This window comes from Homo sapiens, chromosome 1 (genome assembly GCF_000001405.40).
Source record: "Homo sapiens chromosome 1, GRCh38.p14 Primary Assembly".
In the NCBI taxonomy this organism is placed as follows: Eukaryota; Metazoa; Chordata; class Mammalia; order Primates; family Hominidae; genus Homo; species Homo sapiens.
The window spans coordinates 93,189,395-93,209,003 of record NC_000001.11 but is presented as its reverse complement, the minus strand read 5'-3'; the positions used below and the strand labels follow the sequence as shown (position 1 = coordinate 93,209,003).

General features: G+C 37.1%; 1 protein-coding gene and 1 pseudogene across 40 annotated transcripts in view; one reads left to right on the top strand and one right to left on the bottom strand.

Annotated features, from left to right (window-relative positions):
• CCDC18 (coiled-coil domain containing 18) overlaps positions 1–19,609 on the bottom strand; it is a 98,818-nt gene that overhangs the window by 69,727 nt on the left and 9,482 nt on the right. For 39 of the 40 annotated variants that reach the window (XM_017001164.3, XM_017001162.3, XM_011541361.4 and 36 more), the window contains 5 exons: positions 16,898–17,004; positions 15,260–15,388; positions 7,016–7,112; positions 3,373–3,494; positions 1,606–1,897 (listed from right to left, as the gene is read on the bottom strand). In XM_017001164.3, the coding sequence (XP_016856653.1) occupies positions 1,606–1,897; positions 3,373–3,494; positions 7,016–7,112; positions 15,260–15,388; positions 16,898–17,004 (747 nt within the window). Of the gene's footprint in view, positions 1–1,605; positions 1,898–3,372; positions 3,495–7,015; positions 7,113–15,259; positions 15,389–16,897; positions 17,005–19,609 lie in introns of those variants that run through there. The other variant, XM_047419528.1, reaches the window with a different exon arrangement.
• Positions 17,918–18,314, top strand: RPL36AP11 (ribosomal protein L36a pseudogene 11; annotated as a pseudogene).

Sequence of the window (19,609 nt, the reverse complement as noted above, 5' to 3'; positions counted from 1 at the left end):
CTGGGCAACAAGAGTGAAACTTCGTTTCAAAAAAATAAAAGGCCGGGCATGGTGGCTCACGCCCATAATCCCAGCAGTTTGGGAGGCCAAGGCAGGGGGATCACGAATTCAAAAGATCAAGACCATCCTGGCCAACATGGTGTAACCCCGTCTCTACTAAAAATACAAAAATTAGATGGGCATGGTGGTGCGTGCTATAGTTTGAGCTGCTTGGGAGGATAAGGCAGGAAAATCGCTTGAATCCGGGAGGCAGAGGTTGCGATGAGCCAAGATGGCACCACTGCACTCCAGCCTGGCGACAAAGCGAGACTCCATCTCAAAAAAAGAAAAAAAATTTTAAGTTCTATGCCATTCTAATAAGTACATGAAAAGTTGCTCATCATGAGCCATTAAAAAAAATGTAAATTAGGGCCAGGCATGGTGGCTCACGCCTGTAATCCCAGCACTTTGGGAGGCCAAGGTGGGTTGATCATGAGGTCAGGAGTTCGAGACCCGTTTGACCAATGTGGTGAAACCCCGTCCCTTGTGCCTGTAGTCCCAGCTACTAGGGAGGCTGAGGCAGGAGAATTGCTTGAACCTGGGAGGTGGAGGTTGCAGTGAGCTGAGATCATGCTGCTGCACTCCAGCCTGGGCAACAGAGTGAGAGACTCCGTCAAAAAAACAAACAAACAAAAAAAAAGAAAAACCACAATGTGATACCACTTCACACCCACTAAGATGGTTATAATAAAAGAGACAGACAAGAACAAGTGTTGGCAAGGAAGTGGAGAAACAGGAACCCTCATACATTGCTGGTGAGAATGTAAAATAGTGTAGACATTTTGGAAAACAGTTTGGAATAAATTCACCATATGACCCAAGAATTCTACTCCTAGGTATCTACCCAAGAGAAATGAAAACATGTCCAAAGACTTGTATGCAAACGTTCATAGCAGCATTATTCATAATATCCCAAAGTGGAAACAATCCAAATGTCCATCAGCCAGTGAATGGATAAACAAAATATAACATATCTATATAATGAAATACTATTTAGCAATAAAAAGAAATGAAATACTGATATCACAACATGAACGACTCTAAGAATGCAAAAGACCAGGTGCAAAAGAGCACATATTATACGAGTTCATTTATGTGAAATGTCCAGAAAAGACAAATCTACAGATGCAAAAACTATTAGTGTCTTCCTAGGGGTAGAAGTGAGTACAGGGACTAATTATAAATGGGTCCAAAATACCTTTTGGGGATGACAGACATGTTTCAAAGCTGGATCATGGTGATTGTTACAAAACTTATAAATTTACTAAAAATCATAGATTAGTACACTTAAAACAGGCAAATTTTATGGTATATAAATGATACTTCAACAAAGCTGTTTAAAAAAAATTCTGTGCCATTCTTATATATGGCATCTGAGAAACTGGGGAAAAGTGTAGAATGGTAAGTGCAGGAAAAAAAATAGAGATTTAGACAGAAGAGAAATTCATGACTAAAAGTATAGAGAAAAAGAAATTAGAAGCTAATAAAGCAACCACAAAATGATAGTCTTTTCTAAAACACTTTAGTAAAATTCTTCTTTTCCATTACGTAATCACACATACTTACTGGCAACTGGGATATAATCTTTTCCAAACTTCTTAGTTCTACCCTTGAACTTTCAATTTCTTGTTGACATAAATCTAGTCGCTCATTCTGTGCTGCAACACGGACCTTTAATTCTCGGTTTTCATTCATTAAAGAAAATTTGTCTCTAAGTATTTCGTCTTTGTTCTCTAACTCACTCTCTAGCTTCAAAATACTTTGTCTAGATTCAGTTAGTTGTGCCATGACTTCTGAATTTTTCACTGCCATGATCCTTAATTTTTCTTTTCCGTTGTTATTTTCTTCTTTTAACTGCCTATGAAGAAAAGAGAATAAAAATGAAAATAAAATATATATGCATTCATTTTAATCATATTTATTTAATCTCACTTTTAAAATTTTTTGAAGCTTAATTCTAAAATAATACCTGCTCACATTTACTAAATACCTACTTTCTGCATGCCAGGCACTCACAACTTTATATGGTTGGCACTATTATTACTTCTTATTTACAGATGAGGTAACTGAGGCACAAAAAGGTTATATAACTTTCCTAGTGTCTCACAGTAAATGGTAGGGAAGGACAGCCCTACTGTCTTAAAAGCATTTCTGCTCCCTGTTTAATTATATAAGACAGGAAATCTAACTTCAAAATCCCTGACATAGCATTTCACATTATCAACAAAGTTTTGGATTCCTAAAACAGGAGAAAAAGTAAACTGGCTCTACATAATTGTACAACCAGCTTAAGAGCCCAGCATCAATGACTTTCTGTTCTTACAAGGATTCTTTTAAGAAATACTGCATCAACAAGTCTTAATGGCACACTGGGAGATACTGTGAGGAAAAACTTAGACATTTTAGAGGGTTAGACTCCAAATGTGAAGTTTTAAAAATATCTTAACCAATTTATTTCACTTATATTTGAAATATGAGAATAACTTTTTTGAAAAATATGAAAATAACGACTTAAGAAATCATATCTAATTACAAATACAAGAATTCTTTCATGAAGTATAAAAATTTTAAGTGATAAAGGATTGCATCATAGTGTAATTGGCAGCATCTTTCTTTCTTAAAAGTATATCTTGCAATCGATAACCGATTCTAAAAAATACTCTAGTAAAAAGTATCTTTACTTCCTCCTCCTTGGCAAAAATACTAAACAGACTACCTTAAGGAAAGTATGGCAAAATTAGACAAATCAGTCATTGATTGCTTCCTGCTCCCCCTTTTTTTTAAATTAACAGTTTGAAGTGATAAAGACTGGTTAATATTAACCTCTGAAAGTTGATGGGTGTTAGTTTTGAGAGGACAACATGATGTACTAAAAGAGAGCATTGGAGTCAGAAGACTTCGATCTTTCAGACCTTCAGTAAATTCTGGCTACTCTCGGGGCTTCTGTTTACTTATAAAATGAGAAGTCTGGACTAGGTAATTTTTTATGATTTGAAAAACACTTTTTTTTAGAACATCGGATATTATACACATTTTACTAGTGAGTTAATGTGGTTATACATCAAGGACATTATATCTATTAATTTTCTCTAAATATATGCAAAGCAAATATGTTGATCAGTATGTCTCCGTATTTACAAATATTATTAGCATTAACACATTTTACTTCACTTCTAATTCTAACTCTATAGCTAGAAAACAGTTTCAGTCATGAAGCCTATCCTTCTATATAATGTAAGCCTATAATTACAACAATAAAATATTGTGTTTTAAAGTGTTTCAGTTTTTTCCATGTCCACACAAAAATCCTTTTTCTACAACAGAATACTGTACCTTAATTTCTCTTTCAGAATTTCAAGTTCACTTTTATATAGACCACACCTTTCTTGTAGCCTTTTATTTTCTTTTTCACAGTTAGTTAGATTTCTCTCTAATATTTCTTCTTCAGCTTGAACCTAAAACAATAATTTAAGTGGACATACTAATGTGGTTGTAAGTTTTAGGTGTTTCAAGCTAAAAATGTCAGTAGTGATTTCAGAAATAAGCAGGAGAGTAGACTAAGAATTTCATACATTTAAGTCCCCAGCCTTGTAGTGAAAAGAAGCAAAGTGAAGTTCCTGGGCAGTAGCAAAGGACAGAGAAAAAGACACTACTACCTGTCCAGAAAACCTGTAACAGATAGGCAATTGCATCAACTGAAGTCAAAAATTCATCTACAGCTGCTGCGTCCGAGTTACTAAAGGTTAATTTCAGTGCAAATATTCCAGAGAAGTTACTTTTGAAATTTGAACCACAAAATTTACCAACGAAACCACAGCCCAAAATGTAGAACAGAAAAAAGCACCCAAGATACACTGTTGAGAGGAGAAGATTGGGTAGATCTGCCCCAATTCCTTTGTTACCCTGTTACATCCACCTAACTATAGGGCTTTGCTGAGCATTGTTTGCAATTGATAATCCTAAGTGTAAAAAAACAAAACCTGTCTCTTACATTCTTCTCTCCTTCTCCATAAAGTCCTTCTTCTCCCCAAGCATATTCCTCCTACTAGGTCTTCTACCTCCCCTTACTGATCACCTTATTAAAAATCCCTTCTAAGATATTTCATTCCCACAAGGACCCTCTTTAGCTCTCAAAACAGCGTTCTGATTAACTAATTCACACTTAAGATTTCAGTACCCTAAAACTTAAAGTATAATAATAATAAAATTTAAAAAAAAAAGATTTCAGTACCTAGTGAGACCTTAATATTTTACACTGCCAAGTGATACTCACAGTTTTACTGCAAAGGAATGACCACTTTGTAATCAACTGCAGACTTTCTCCTTGATCTCAGTATTTAATATTGTTGGTAACTTCTCCTCTAAAATATTTTATCATGTAGCTGTCATGATAATATTACACTTGACTCTGGCCACTCTTGTTTTCCTTGCTTCCTTTTATTAACTCATCATTCCTGACTGCTCTTTTCTTTCCATATATTCTCTCAAAAGTTTAGCAAATTTCTTGGCTTTCCTTATTGCAAATATATTATGAGAAATACTCACCCCAAGTTTCCAAAATCCCTCCTATCCTCCTTACGCTATGAAAATCACTTAAGCAACATCTTAATTTATGAGACCAAAGACATTTAATTCAAAATCGTTCAATTTCCTTCCACCTAAAACTTTTTTCTGTTTTTATCCACTTTTTTCCCATAAAGAAATGTCCTATTTCATTAAAAAAAAGAATCTCACTTCTGCTCTTGGACTATCATCTTGCATATCATTCAGACCCTTGTGCCATCTTTTATTCCTTATAATTCTAGCATCTTCAATCTCCCCCTACTAATATGTTCAGGATACCCTTAGGTGCTTTACCACAGCTTCTTCACCTTAACTTAGCTTCTTTCTACCCTTCCATTCGCTGCCTCTCCCAACCCACCACACACACTTATTTCCTCTTCACCTACCGTATGTAAAGAATTGTCTGTTAGCTACCTCTACCCCCTCCCTTTCCATTTCTCCCATTTCAGAGGTTGTGCCTTCTACTTTAATAAGTTGCTCTCTACAAAGTATCCAATGACTCCCTGATTATAAAAACCAATAGCCCTGTCTTGTTCCTCATCTTTCTAAATTTTTTTTTTCTGATTTTTTACAGACAGGGTCTTGCTCTTTCACTCAGGCCTGAGTGCAGTGGCATTATCATGGCTTAATGCAGCCTCTAACTCCTGAGTTCAAGCAATCCTTCTACCTCAGCCTGCTGAGTAGCTGGAATTACAGGCATAAGCCACCACACCTGGTTCAGTCCTCATTCTTCTTGACCAATTTGCAACATCTGGCACTGAAGATCACCACCTTCTTTTTAAAATGTTCTATCACCTTGGCTTTTCTTATTATACTTTCCTGATTCTCTAATTTTTTTAAATCACTTCTCGATATCTTTCAAAAGCTAATCTACCTGTTCTTTATCTCCCAGGGTATCTTTCATCTTGTTCTCATTCTATATGAACTCTGTCAATGTCCAAGGCTTCTACCACTTTAATTCAGTACTGTTAATTCTCAAAACTACAGCCCTAGTACAGATTTGTATGTCTAAATCCAGACCTATAGATACAAAAGCCTACCTATAACTGGATATTCTACAGACATTTCCAAAATAGAACTCATTAACTTTTTTTCTTAAACTGTCTATTTTGATTCATGATGCAATCATCCAGCAGTCACTCAAACCAGCAACCTAAAAATATCCTATATTCTTCTTTCTCATACTGCCCGCTTCTAATGCATTCAAGTGGTCACTAGATCCCACTGATTCCCCAACTTTAACATCCCTCATAGCTACCTACTCAGCTCCTTCATCTTCAATATCTCTTGCCTTGTCTTTTAAAGTCTCCTTGACTTGTCTCTCACCTCTCAAATGCATCTTCACATGACATCAGGGTGAGCTTCCTAGAACATAGATTTTGATCATTTTCCCTGGTTAACACTGTTCAAAGATATATCACAATCTTTGAGATAGCCTAGCAGCTCAAGCATTGCCTACTCTGTGAAGCCTTCTTTGGGCCCACCAGAGTTTATTAACCACTGCCACCTTCACCCACCCTACCACACCTACCTCTTATTTCTATATTATACTTATTCCAAAATACTGAAATTATTTGTTTACATACTTGTCAATCTTACTAGACAGTGAGCTCTTTAGGATAGGTATCATGTGTTATGTATCACCGAATCTCCCAGAGACTAGCACAGTACCTGGCATGTAAAAGGAATTTCATGATTGTTTAATAAATGAACACCCATCTTCTTACTCTACCCTTCTACCTGAACATTCCTTCCTCTGCCTTTCTACCTTTCTTGGATCAGAATCATAAACTTCCTCTGCTTTCATTGCTATCTCAAGATGGAAGTCTCCCATATTAGTATCTCTTTACCAGACCTCTCTTTTGAGCTCAATATCTGAATATCCAACTGTGGTGTTCCTCCATACACATTTCATTACCATGTGATATTACTTAAAGATAATAAATGAATATAATAAATGAATGTAATAAACTCACTATTATTTCTATATCAAATCAGTTCAAGGAACCTTCCGAGAGGCAGAAGCAAGCCCCTCTCAGAGTAGCAGACTGAGGGAGACCAGTTGAAAGCTACATAATCTATCTTCATTTTCATTGAAGTGATAAAAATGAATTTCTTTTTTCTACTTCTTTAGCTCCAGTCTCTGTTAACACATTCCATCCTTCTCTGTATTTTGTTCCTTCTCCTCTCTCTACTCTTTTCCCTCTTTGGATAAAAAAGTTTCTCCTGATAATAAAAGGGTTGGTGAACATCATCCTTAACTAACATTTACAAATTGTTTATTTAAATGATTTTGTAAGATCATAAAAATTACTCTCTGTCTCAACCATAAACATATTTTAATTATTCCTACCTTTACTGTTGGAATATAGACAGTAATACAAAACACTGAATTTGCACAACTGCCTTTTACCTTTTCCAGTTTTTCAGCCACTTTTTTTTTATATTGTTGGAAAGCTTTACTCAGCTCTTCGGCATTATATAGTGCTTCATTCCTTTGTCGTTCAGCTCTAAAATTTAAAAAGAGATAATGAATAAAAGTGAAGAATGCTCTGCATTTGAAGAGTTAAGTTCCAAAGTAATCTTTAATTATAAGGAATAATTGGAGAGAAACAAATTTCTCTGCACTAAAAAGGAGTATTAGGCTTAAAGTATAAAATGAAGAATGTAGATCATACTACAAAAATTTTCTCACTCTATCAATATGAAAAATAAAACACAAAACAATAATAAACATAAATGTCGAAATATATATAAATTCTTATGTGTTGGCAATTTTTTTTTTCCCTATCTGGAAAAGACAGATTAGGGAAATAGCCTGAGGCTGGATGATACATTTTCAAAGGTTAGGTATTACAGAATCAGTCTATTGTCTAGAATATTAAATATACTCAGTAAATTCTGTGACCTTTGCAAAGGTCAAATAAATTTCAAATAGTTATTTCAAAAAATGGTAACTTCTATTGATACCAGATATAAAAATCTAGACAACAAAAAACACAACCACCACCAACCACTCTTTAAGCCGAACCTTGTTGCCTCATCTCTTAGTTCCTTATGCTTCTTGCAATGAAATGAAAATTTGGGGCACAATACATTGAGAATATTTGGTCAATATCACTCTCACACCTAAAAATATTTTAATATTTAAACCTATTCCCATCATATTCTTTCTAATGTAAGTGAGGTTAGTGACCCTCCTCTTATCCAGGGTGAATTACTCTATTTATAGTCTAGATCTTAACTCTTAACCCTTCAGAAATACACTCTAGCTTCTGTATTTTCATTCTCTCTGTTGGTTATTTTGCCACAAGTATAAACAAGTTCAAGTAAAAGTACTCCTAACTTTCTGAGTCTATGTGGTTAAGTACGTCTATTTGACTCCAAAGTTTCAGATAAAGGAAAGTAAGGACAACAAAGGACTTCTCTGAAAATCTGTAGGAATATAATCAATTCCTGAGTGTGCACAGGTACTGTTCAGATCAAAGGATACCTGTATTTCTCACTTAAACAAACAAAAACCTTCCCACGTATTGTGCTTTCCTCTATTATCCTTCTTTTCAAGCCAGACTTATCCGCTTTACACTTATCTACTCTTCCTCACTTCCAATTTGTAAAAAGTAATGACATATTTCAGCCACATCAAAAAGTCTGGATAAATATTACCATGTACTCCCAATCACGTTTTAATGAATCTTCACTCTTTGTCTGAAAAGGCTACAGAAGACAAACAAAATATTACAAATAAAGTTGAGGTCCTTATGTGTCCCTTCCAAATCCCATTCCCCTGACTTCTTCCAACAGAGGTAACCCTATCCTGATTTTGGTGTTTTTTATTTTGTACATTCATGTTAACCTACACCCACAAATAGTATATATCACAGTTCATCTATTCTAAGAGACACATTGTTTTCACTTTTTGTTGTGTGTGTGGGGTCTTGCTATTTTGCCCGGGCTGGTCTTGAATTCCTGGCCTCAAGTAATACTCGCACTTTGGCCTCCCCAAGTGCTTGGATTACTGGAGTGAGTCACTGTGTCCAGCCTGTTCTCGCTTTTTTTTTTTTTTTAAATAATCTCCTATAGTCTTACCATGTTTTCACATTTTTAACATCTCTAAAATTGTTATGTGCTGGGTGTGGTGGTTCACGCCTGTATTCCAAACAGTTTAGAAGGCTGAGCCAGGAGGATTGCTTGAAGCCAGATGTTAGAGACCAGCCTGGGAAACGTAGTGAGATCGTCTCTACAAAAAGTTAACTGGGCATGGTGGTGCACACCTGTAGTCCCAGCTACTCTAGAGGCTGAGGCAGGAGGATCCCTTGAACGCAGGGGTTTGAGGCTGCAGTGAGCCATGATCGCAACACTGCATTCTAGCCTGGGTGACAGAGCAAGACCCTATCTCTAAAAAAAAATAAAATAAAATAAGACAGTTCCAGGTGGGGGTCTGTAAAGTGCAGCAGCCACGGCCAGCTACCTCATGCTCAACAACAGCACCTAGATGCTCATACTGGGGCTGGGCACCTGCAAGTCCCCCTTGGGCCAGGTAACTGAAGCTGTGAAGGTGGCAATTGACATCGGGTACTGCTGCATTGACTGTGTCCACATGTACCAGAACGCAAATGAGGTGGGGGTAGCCATTCAGAGGAGCTACCCACTGTGGGTCTCCTCTGAGCTGTTCTGTCGCTCAACAGAGCTTCTCTTGCTCACCCTCCACTTGTTTGCTTACCTCATTCTTCCTGGATGCAGGACAAGAACTCAGGACCCACTGAATGGTGGGGCTTAAAATGCTGTAACACAAATGGCTGAAACACGCCCCCTGCTCACTACGTTGCAGGCAACAAGAAGAAAAGACAAGAGAAGGAGAGAAGAGCTACAGCCCTTCAGGGGAGCCCAGACCTATGAGCTTCCCGAGCCAGGGCTGTGACACCCTCTTTAGGGCTCTGTGGTTCCTGGTGTCTCCAAGCTTCCAGTACCACCCCGTTCCCTGGTGTCAGCCACAGAAGCTGCTTATGCTATACCTGGTCCAGCCACAGCCTCACAGGGAGCTGGCGCCCGTGCTGGCGCCTGGAGCTGCTCACACCACCACAGCCGGCATGCCTGGCTATGTATAGTGGCTGGACCCTATGGTCGTTCACACACCCCTTGCCATTCTGCACCTAGCTCACCCTTGGCAGGTGTGGGATCCAGGGTGGTAGCACGAGCCAAGCGCAGCCTGCCAGGCTGAGTGGGCAGAATGAGCCCACTGGGCCAGAGTAAAACTCGGGCAAAGGTGCCACTGGCCACAGAGGTTTCTGGCTCGTGAAGCAACACCCCAAGGATCCCAAAACAGCATATTGTGCCCCTCCTACTTCTAGAAATCTGTAAGTATAAAAATTTCTTTCTCCATGTCAGTCCTGTGTCTGTATCTTACCATACCTGATTAAAACAAACCCCAAATACATTTTAAAACATGCATTAAAGCCAGGCACAGTGGCTCATGCCTATAATACTTGCACTTTAGGAGGCCAAAGCAAGAGGACCACTTGAACCCAGGAGTTCAAGACCAGCCTGGGCAACACAGTGAGACCCATGTGTAAAAAAAATTTAAAAATTAGTCGGGTGTGGTGGGGCAAGCCTGTAGTCCTAACTATCTGCGAGCCTGAAGTGGGAGGATCACTTGAGCCCAGTAGTTGGGAGCTACTGTGAGCCATGACCACAGCATTGCACTCCAGCCTGGGTAACAAAGCAATACCATATTTCTTTAAAAAAAAATTAAGACTATACATATCTTCTGTAGATTTTTTCTTATAGTTTTTCTTATTTGATTTTAATTTTTTATTGAGTAAAGTACAGAAATCCTAAATGAGAGAAGTTTATAATAATGTGTATACTTACTTAACTACTAACCCAATCAAATAGAGAACACTTCCAGCACCCCTGTGTACCTTCCCAGTGAATATTCTTTACCCCAAAAAGGTAAGCACCATTTGGACTTTTAACAACATATGTTAATTTTGCCTATCCTTGATTTGCTATGGAATTATACAGTATTCTACTGTGTCTGGCTTCTTCTGCTGAGCATTATATGTGTGATAATAATCCATGTTGTTACATAGTTGTAGTTGCTCTTTTTTACTGATGTGTATAATTATGTGAACATACCACAGTTTATAGATTACACTGTTGATGAACATTTAACAATGAATAAAATTACTCTAACATTCTTGTACATGTCTTTTAATACAGGGACTAAGTTTTGTTGAAATGAATGCTGGATCATAAGGCAGGCTTATGTTTACCTTTAGCAGCTACTGACAAACAGTTTTCCAAAGTGGTTCTACCAATTTACACTTCCATTAGAAATGCAGGAGAGTGGGCCGGGCGCGGTGGCTCACACCTGTAATCCCAGCACTTTGGGAGGCCAAGGCGGGCGGATCACGAGGTCAGGAGATTGAGATCATCCTGGCTAACATGGAGAAACCCCGTCTCTACTAAAAATACAAAAAATTAGCCAGGCATGGTGGTGGGCGCCTGTAGTCCCAGCTACTAGAGAGGCTGAAGCAAGAGAATGGCATGAACCCAGGAGGTGGAGCTTGCAGTGAGCCGAGATCGCGCCACTGCACTCCAGCCTGGGCGACAGAGCGAGACTCTGTCTCAAAAAAAAAAAAAAAAAAAAAAAAGAAAAGAAAAGAAATGCAGGAGAGTTTCAATTCCACATCCTTGCCATAACTTGTTTTTGAGAGTCTTTTCCATTTTAGTCATCATGGGCTGTAGTGGGCCTGATGTTTCCTTTCCTTTTGTCACCATTGTTTTGACTAGTTTAGTTATTTGTGGGCAGATTTTTAATTACTGATTTGATAACCCTAATAGCTATATATATACACACACACATATATATGTACACACACACACACATATATTTATTCAGGTTTTTCATTTATTTTAAAGTTAGTTTTGTTAAATTTTATTTTGCTGAGAATTTTATTTAGTCTAAGTTTTCAAATGTATCATCTTTAAAATGATTCAGTTATTGGCCTTATTTCTTATATATTTCTTATTGCTTACCGATTTATAGCTAAATCTGTAATTTGGGAGTCCCTTGCCAATCCCAACACTTGTGCCTTTTCTCCTTTATTAATCTTGTCTGATGCCCATTTTCTTGTTCATTGTGAAAATAACCACATTTAGGTTTTGGTAATCCTTTATATTGTTTCACTGTTTTCTATTCATCCATTTCATCCTTATCTTTATTATTTCCTTACTTCTATTTTCTTTTGATGTTCATTCTTTCTTCTGATGTCCTCCTTTTCCTGACCACACAATAGTCTATTTCAGTTCATTAATTTTCAGTCATGATATAATACATGTATATAAGGTTAAATTTTTTCCTCTAAGAGTGTCTTTAGGTACAGCCTACATGCAGTGATGTGCATTTTTTATATCACTCAGTTCTAAAGGTTTTCTAATTTATTCAATGGTCAATGAACACCAGTAGGTCAATGAACACCAGTAAGCCTGGTTTTACATTTCCAAACATACAGGATTTCAAGGAGTTATATTCTAACTTAACTGAACTGTGGTTGCAGAAGATAATACATACGACATCAATCTTTTGGAATTTGTTCAAATTCATGCTTTCTAGCATAGTGAGGTAACAGATTACATCTGCTTGAAAGAATGTCAATTTCAAACTGTTGACTACATGGTTCCATATACACATCCATTAGATCAAGAATATTAATTGTCTTATTCAACACTTCAAGCCTTAATTTTTTGTTACTTAACAATTCCTGATAAATGTATAAAGAATTTTCCCCATATGACTACAGATTTGTTCTTTTCTCCTTGAAATTGTGTTATTTTTCTTATGTATTTTGGGACTAAATTATTAGATACATATAAGTTTAGAGTCTTTATATCTTGCTGGTTTAGAGTCTTTATATCTTCTTGGTTAAGTGTTAAACATTATATGAGTCATTTTAATGTTGGTAATGCTTGTTGCACTGAAGTCTATTCTGTGTGATCCTAATATAGTAATATCAACTTTGCTTTGGTGAGTATTTATCTGAAACATTTCTTTCCATTCTTTTTTTCTCTTTTTTGAGACACAATCTTCCTCTGTCACTCAGGCTGGAGTGCAATGGCACAATCTTGGCTCACTGTAATCTCTGCCTCCTAGGCTCAAGCAATCCCTTTCACCTTAACCTCCTGAGTAGCTGGGACTCCAGGCGTGTGCCACCACACCAGGCTAATTTTTATATTTTTTGTAGAGATGGGGTTTCACCATGTTGCCCGGGCTGGTCCTGAACTCATGAGCTCAAGTGATCCACCTATCTCGGCCCCACAAAGTGCTAGGATTACAGGTGTTAGCCTCCGCATCCAGTCTGCTTTCAATTTTTCTGTGTCCTTATGTTTTAGGTAATCTCTTACAAACAGCATAAAGCTAAACAATCTCTCCCTTTCTTTACACTGGCTTTTTAATCCATTATGATTAATCTTCTCCACCCAATAGTCCTTGAAAAGGTTCTGATCTTTCAATCTCAGAATGTGTCTTAGTCTATTTGTGCTGCTAGAATAAATATCATAGTCTGGGTAGTTTATAAAAAACAGAAATGTATTTCTCACAGTTCCGGAGGCTGGGAAGTCCAAGATCAAGGTACTGGCAGTTTGGTAGGGCCTAATCTCTCTGCTTCCAAGATGGTGCCTTAAATGCTACATCCTCCAAGGAGGAGGAACACTTTATTCTGACATGACAGAAAGGAAAAAAGGAACAAACTCCCTCTGTCAAGCCCTCTTATAATGGCATTAATCCATTCACGAAAGCAGAGCCCTTGTGACCTAAGTACCTCTAAAATGCCCCACCTCCCAACAGTGTTGCGTTGGGATTAAGTTTCCAATACAAAAAATTGGGGGGACACATTCAAACCATAGCAGAAAGTCAATATTCATTTTAGTTCTTCAAAAAGCTCCAAGAGTCTTCATGTCATACCTCTACCTAAAAATCTCAATTGGCTATTTATGCTTTCCAGGTTAAAATACAAATCCTTTGGTATAACACACAAAGCCATTTACAGTCTGGATCCAGCCTGTCTTTCTTGTCTCATCTCCCACTACACCTATTTACTTATAAGAACATAAAATTACTTAAGAGTTCTTCAGCAATAATACCCTTTTATACTTCTATACCTTTGCACATGCTGCCCAGAATGTGTCTGTCCCCCACTTACTCACTTTGTGAAGCCAAAGTCAATATTTAGCCAGGCGCAGTGGCTCACGCCTGTAATTCCAGCACTTTGGGAGGCCAAGGAGGGTGGATCACTTGAGGTCAGGAGTTTGAGACCAGCCTGACCATCATGGTGAAACCCAGTCTCTACTAAAAATACAATAATTAGCTGGGTGTGGTAGTGCATGCCTGTAATCTCAGCTACTCAGGAAGCTGAGAAAGAAGAACTGCTTGAACCCAGGGGGCGGAGGATGCAGTGAGCCAAGATCACACCACTGCACTCCAGCCTGCGAGACAGAGTAAGACTCCATCTCAAACAACAACAACAACAACAAAGTCAATACTCTATCCTAAAAGTCATCTCTTATCTAAGTTGCATAGAGGAAACTAGTAGCTCTTCCTCTTTATTTTTTCTTGGCAGCTATATTGTGAATGTGGTCTTCATGTATTATTATCTCACTATTTTAACTAACCACGTGCAAAGCTTATCTGAGTAAGTGAAGTGTGAATTCTAGAGTATTTAACCACAAAGTTTATAAAATAGTTAAATTGTTAGTATTTTTTAAGAGGTACATTTCTTTTTTTCATTTACTCTTCATTTCTATCCATATCAAGATAATATCATCTTTATTTAACAGATGAAAAAAACCTGAGATTTCAAAAGGTTATATCATTTGGCCAAGGTAACAAAGCCAATGAGAGGTAAAATCTAAAAATTTTCTAACTCCAAAACCTACGCATTTTCTACTAAGCAATATTGCAAATTGCAAAATTGCAAAATTGCAAAATTGCTTAGTACAGATTATGACTTTATACTGTATAACAACTGCTATAATCCTATTTTATTATAAAATCTTATTAGTTTAAACTCAAAAAATTTAAATCTTTATCAGTTTAAAAGTGAACTGGCATTCAGAGTTAATGGTTCCTTGGACAGAGCTACTTAAAAGACTTGATCTCAAGATATAATTTATACAAAATAGATATTTTTGTACTATTTATATATTTCTAAAGGAAGATCCAAGCACACATTCACAGGCATTGAGTTTCTTTCTCTATGAGGCAAAATTTTCTTTTAAAGAGTTCATTCAACATTTTATTTAGTTTTATTAGAGGTAATATTAATTTACAGGCTTTTTCCCTGTTAGTATTTTAAACTCAGTGTACTGGTTTCAAATAGGCCATAGAACTTAATTTCAGAAATAAGTATCATTAAACTGATAATCGTTATCAGTTTTGTAGAAATTAAGCCCAATCCAGGATGCTAATAACATAAATTCCACATATAAACATTTTAATGGAAAATTTAAAAAAATTAATAGATAAAAAAGAACATTAAGTTAATTTATTGCCAAATCTCTGAAATTTTTTCACTTCAAAAATTAACTAGAATTTTAAATAGGTAATATTTCCTTTTATTCCCTTTCAAAAACATGTATTTGCTTTAAAAACACATACCTTTTTCCTTGTTTGGTTTGTTCAAGTAAGTCCACCTTTAATTTTATACATTCCTCTTTGGACTCCTGCAAACTCTGTTCCTTTTCAATTACCATTTTCTGGCTCTGTTCCAGCTTATTTTCTGCCTCTCTATAAAATAAAGGATACTTTGTTTAAGACTACTAAAGAGATTATCCCAGGTATGCAAGAATAATTTAATATTAGGAATTATATTTGTTTAAATCAATGAGTTAAGAGAAACAATATACAAAAAGAGATAGAGAAAAAGGCATATTCATCACTTGTTAATTAAGAGTTTTTTAAAGAATAAAAGAATACTTCCACCAGATGATAAATATATCTGAAGTAATAACTCACATCGTATTTTATAGTCAGATACCAGAAGCATTCCTGTATAGTTCAGAAACTAAATAAAGATGACTGTTATCACCCCCACATCCAACAACTTTTCTGACAGTTCTACCCACTGCAAAAAGCAAATATGAAAAGGTAATAAGTAGTATAAATGCTGAAAAGGAAAGACAAAATTTTTTTTCTTTCTTTCTTTTTCCTACTCTTTGACTCAGAAACAAAATTTTTTTTATTTGCTGATAATACCATTAGCTACCAATTACAAAATAATTATATTATACAAAAGTCGGTAACCTTCCCATACACTAGCAATGAACAAAGTAGGAACAATTCACAATTGCCAAAAATATAAAATACCTACAAATTTAAAATAATATATGTATTACAAAGAAAATTACAAAACTCTGATGGACATAAAAGACAACTTCAGTGTGCAGCAGCATCATTTGCAGAACTTGTGAAACCCCTCCCAACTTGGTTCAGTATGCCAGAGATAAGACCTGAGAATTTGCATTTCTAACAAGTTCCCAGGTGATGCTACTACTGCTGGTCCTTTAACTATACTTTCGGAATCACTCAGAGTAATATGTTATTTAATATGCATATATTTCCCATTTTATTCAAAGCAGAAGAGAATAAATTATAAAGTGCCTGATGGCAAGGCATGGCAGCTCATGCCTGCAATCCCAACACTTTGGGAGGCCGAGGCAGGACGACTGCTTGAGGCCAGGAGTTTGAGACCAGCCTGACCAACATAGTGAGACCCTGTCTCTACAAAATAAAAAATAAAAAGCTTAGCTGGGCACAGTGGGTGCGTGCCTGTAGTCCCACCTCCTTGGGAGGCTGAGGCAGAATGATCACTTGAACCCAGGAGGCTGAGGCTGCAGTGAGCCATACTGTACCACTGCACTCCAGCCTAGGTGACGCAGTGAGACCCTTTCTGTAAAAATAATAAAAGTGTCTGACTCCTTTACATTTTATTTCTTGAACTCCCTTTGAAACACTGAGTATATACTTCTATGTAGGTGAAGAAATGAACTAATTCATGTTTGATAAAAGCATGTAAATAGGCATCTCACCTTAGTCTTTTTAGCCCCTATATACTACATGCAACCTACAGCCAAGAGGAGTTATGATTGACTAAAAATAGATTCAACAAGTTCTAAGACAGCTGAACACCATTAGGTTACTGTAAATTTATTGGGTGTGGGGAACAAGATTTAACAAGATATAATAAAATGTATAAGTAGAAAATAAAACTTTGAGAGCTATAAAAAGTATATTTACCTCAAAACTTTATCTTGAGCTGAAACCTCTGCTTCCAAATTTATAATCTGTTCTTCTAAGATTGGGACACTGGCTGCCTGCTGTTGAGCAGACTCAAGCATAGAAACCTAAAACATAAAAACAACTTTTATAGTACTTTCAGAAAATAAATTAACCTACTTGGTCCTTAGTTTTTTTCCTGTCAGATGAGGGTGTTCAATAGGGCTCCCAAATCATTGGTCAGATATAAAGCTTCCCATCTATTCCTTTGATCAACATTTACATGGGCATATCATCATTATAAGCCAGCCTTGGCATGTAAGCTCCTGGCATTACCTTCAACTTATAACTGAAGAGTTATTTAGGGGAGAAAATAGAATCTCTATTGATAAGCATCTAGCAAGATTTATTTTACATAAATTAGAAAATTAAACATAAAATATCAAACTATAAACAATTATAAAAGAAAATATTTATTGAATTTTTATGATTTAAAAACCTAATTATAGAATACATGCTTACTAGGAAGAATCTAAATACAGAAAAGCATAATAACCCTACAATCTGTATAATAAAGAGAGTACAACTACTATAGCAGGGTGGGAACCCACAATCTAAATGGTATAGAAGAGAGTATCAATAAGATAACTATCACTGAAAAAGAAGTTTAGAACATGAAGGCACAAGGTACTGTAGAGGGCAGAAGTGAGGACCCAATGAAAAACCAGGGATACAGTTCAAAGTATCTGCAAGTAACAGTCATCCTCTTTTTCCCACTCCCAGAACACCAATAGCAAGGTGTTGGCATACTAGGAAAGAGGCAGAAAGTTTATTATCAGAAGAAACTGAACAGAAGAAGCTTGAGACTGTGAGACACTAAGAGTAATGAGCAGGAATGAAGTACAGCTGTAACAAGGGAATTAATATAAAACGGTTAGCCCCACCTTACTACTCAATTTCATTTTGGGTTATCCCACAGGTGAGAAACTAAAGGATTCTTTGCTGGAGAAACTCAATTGCTCCAAAAAAAAAAAAAAAATCTCCTTGCTGATAGCACTCCCGCAAACATGGTGAACATTCCTAAAACCTGCAGGACTTTCTGTAAGAAGTGTGGCAAGCACCAACCCTAGAAAGTGACACAGTACAAGAAGGGCAAGGATTCTCTGTATGCCCAGGGAAAGTGTCGATATGACAGGAAGCAGAGTGGTTATGGTGGGCAGACTAAGTAGATTTTCCAGAAAAAGGCTGAAACTACAAAGAAGATTGTGCTAAGGCTTGAGTGCACTGAGCCCAACTGCAGATCTAAGAGAATGCTGAGTATTAAAAGATGCAAGCTTTCTCAACTGGGAGGAGGTAAGAGCAGAAAGAGCCAAGTGACCCAGTTCTAAGTGTTATCTTTTGTTTTATTATGAAGACAATAAAATCTTGAGTTTATGTTAAAAAAAAAAAAAGGGAAAGAAAAACATCTCATACTGATACTGTTTGGGGGCTGGCAGGTGTTTCCCTACAAAAGAACCACCTCCCTAACCATCACCCAGAAATAAAGTCCACTGGACAACAAACCACCAATCTGCATTTAAATGCCTTTCTCTTAAATATGAATAGCTAAAATACTAACACCTGAAAAAATCTTCTTTTTTTTGAGATGGAGTCTCACTCTGTCACCAGGCTGGAGTGCAGTGGCGCGATCTCGGCTCACTGCAACCTCCGCCTCTGGGTTCAAGCAATTCTCCTGCCTCAGCCTCCCGAGTAGTTGGGACTACAGGCACACATCACCACGCCCAGCTAATTTTTGTATTTTTAGTAGAGACGGGGTTTCACCATGTTGGCCAGGATGGTCTCGATCTCTTAACCTCGTGATCTGCCCACCTCAGATTCCCAAAGTTCTGGAATTACAGGCGTGAGCCGCCGTGCCCGGCCCAAAAGCTTCTAACATAAAAGTCAGAGGCCTAAACAAAAGAAAAAGGAAAGTAAAGCAAACATGAAAAAAAAATCATTAAATCTTCAGAGTGCTAAGAGAGAATACTACATTAGTATGTTATGAAATACAAAACAATCGGAACAAAAAAAAACTTCAGAAACCGAAAAAAGTATGACAGCCAAAATAAAAGATTTAATAGAAGTGCAAAAAATAATGTTGAGAATACCTCCTAAATAAAAATCACAGGGCCAGGCGCGGTAGCTCAATCCTGTCATCCCAGCACTTTGGGAGGTGGGTGGATCGCTTGAGTCCAGGAGTTCAAAATCAGCCTGGGCAACATGGCAAAACTCCATCTCTACAAAAAGACAATACAAAAACTAGCCAGGCATGGTGGCACGTGCCTGTAGTCCCAGCTACTTGGGAGGTTAAGGTGGGAGGATCACTTGTGCCCAGGAGGTCAAGGTTGCACTGAGCTGTGATTGCACCATTGCACTTCAGCCTGGGCAGCAGAGCAAGACCTTGTCTCAAAAAAAAACAAAAAAACAAGGCTTACATTCAAAAGACAGGTAATAACAAATGTTTGCATGAATGTGGAAAAAAGGGAATCTTCATACGCTGTTGGTGGGAATGGAAATTAGTACAACCAGTATGGAGAACAGTTTGGAGGCTCCTCAAAAAACTAAAAATACAGCTACCATATGATCCAGAAATTCCACTGCTGGGCATATACCCAAAAGAAAGGAAATCAGTATATTGAAAAGGTATCTGCACTTCCATGTTTGTTGCAGCACTGTTCAATAGCCAAGATTTAG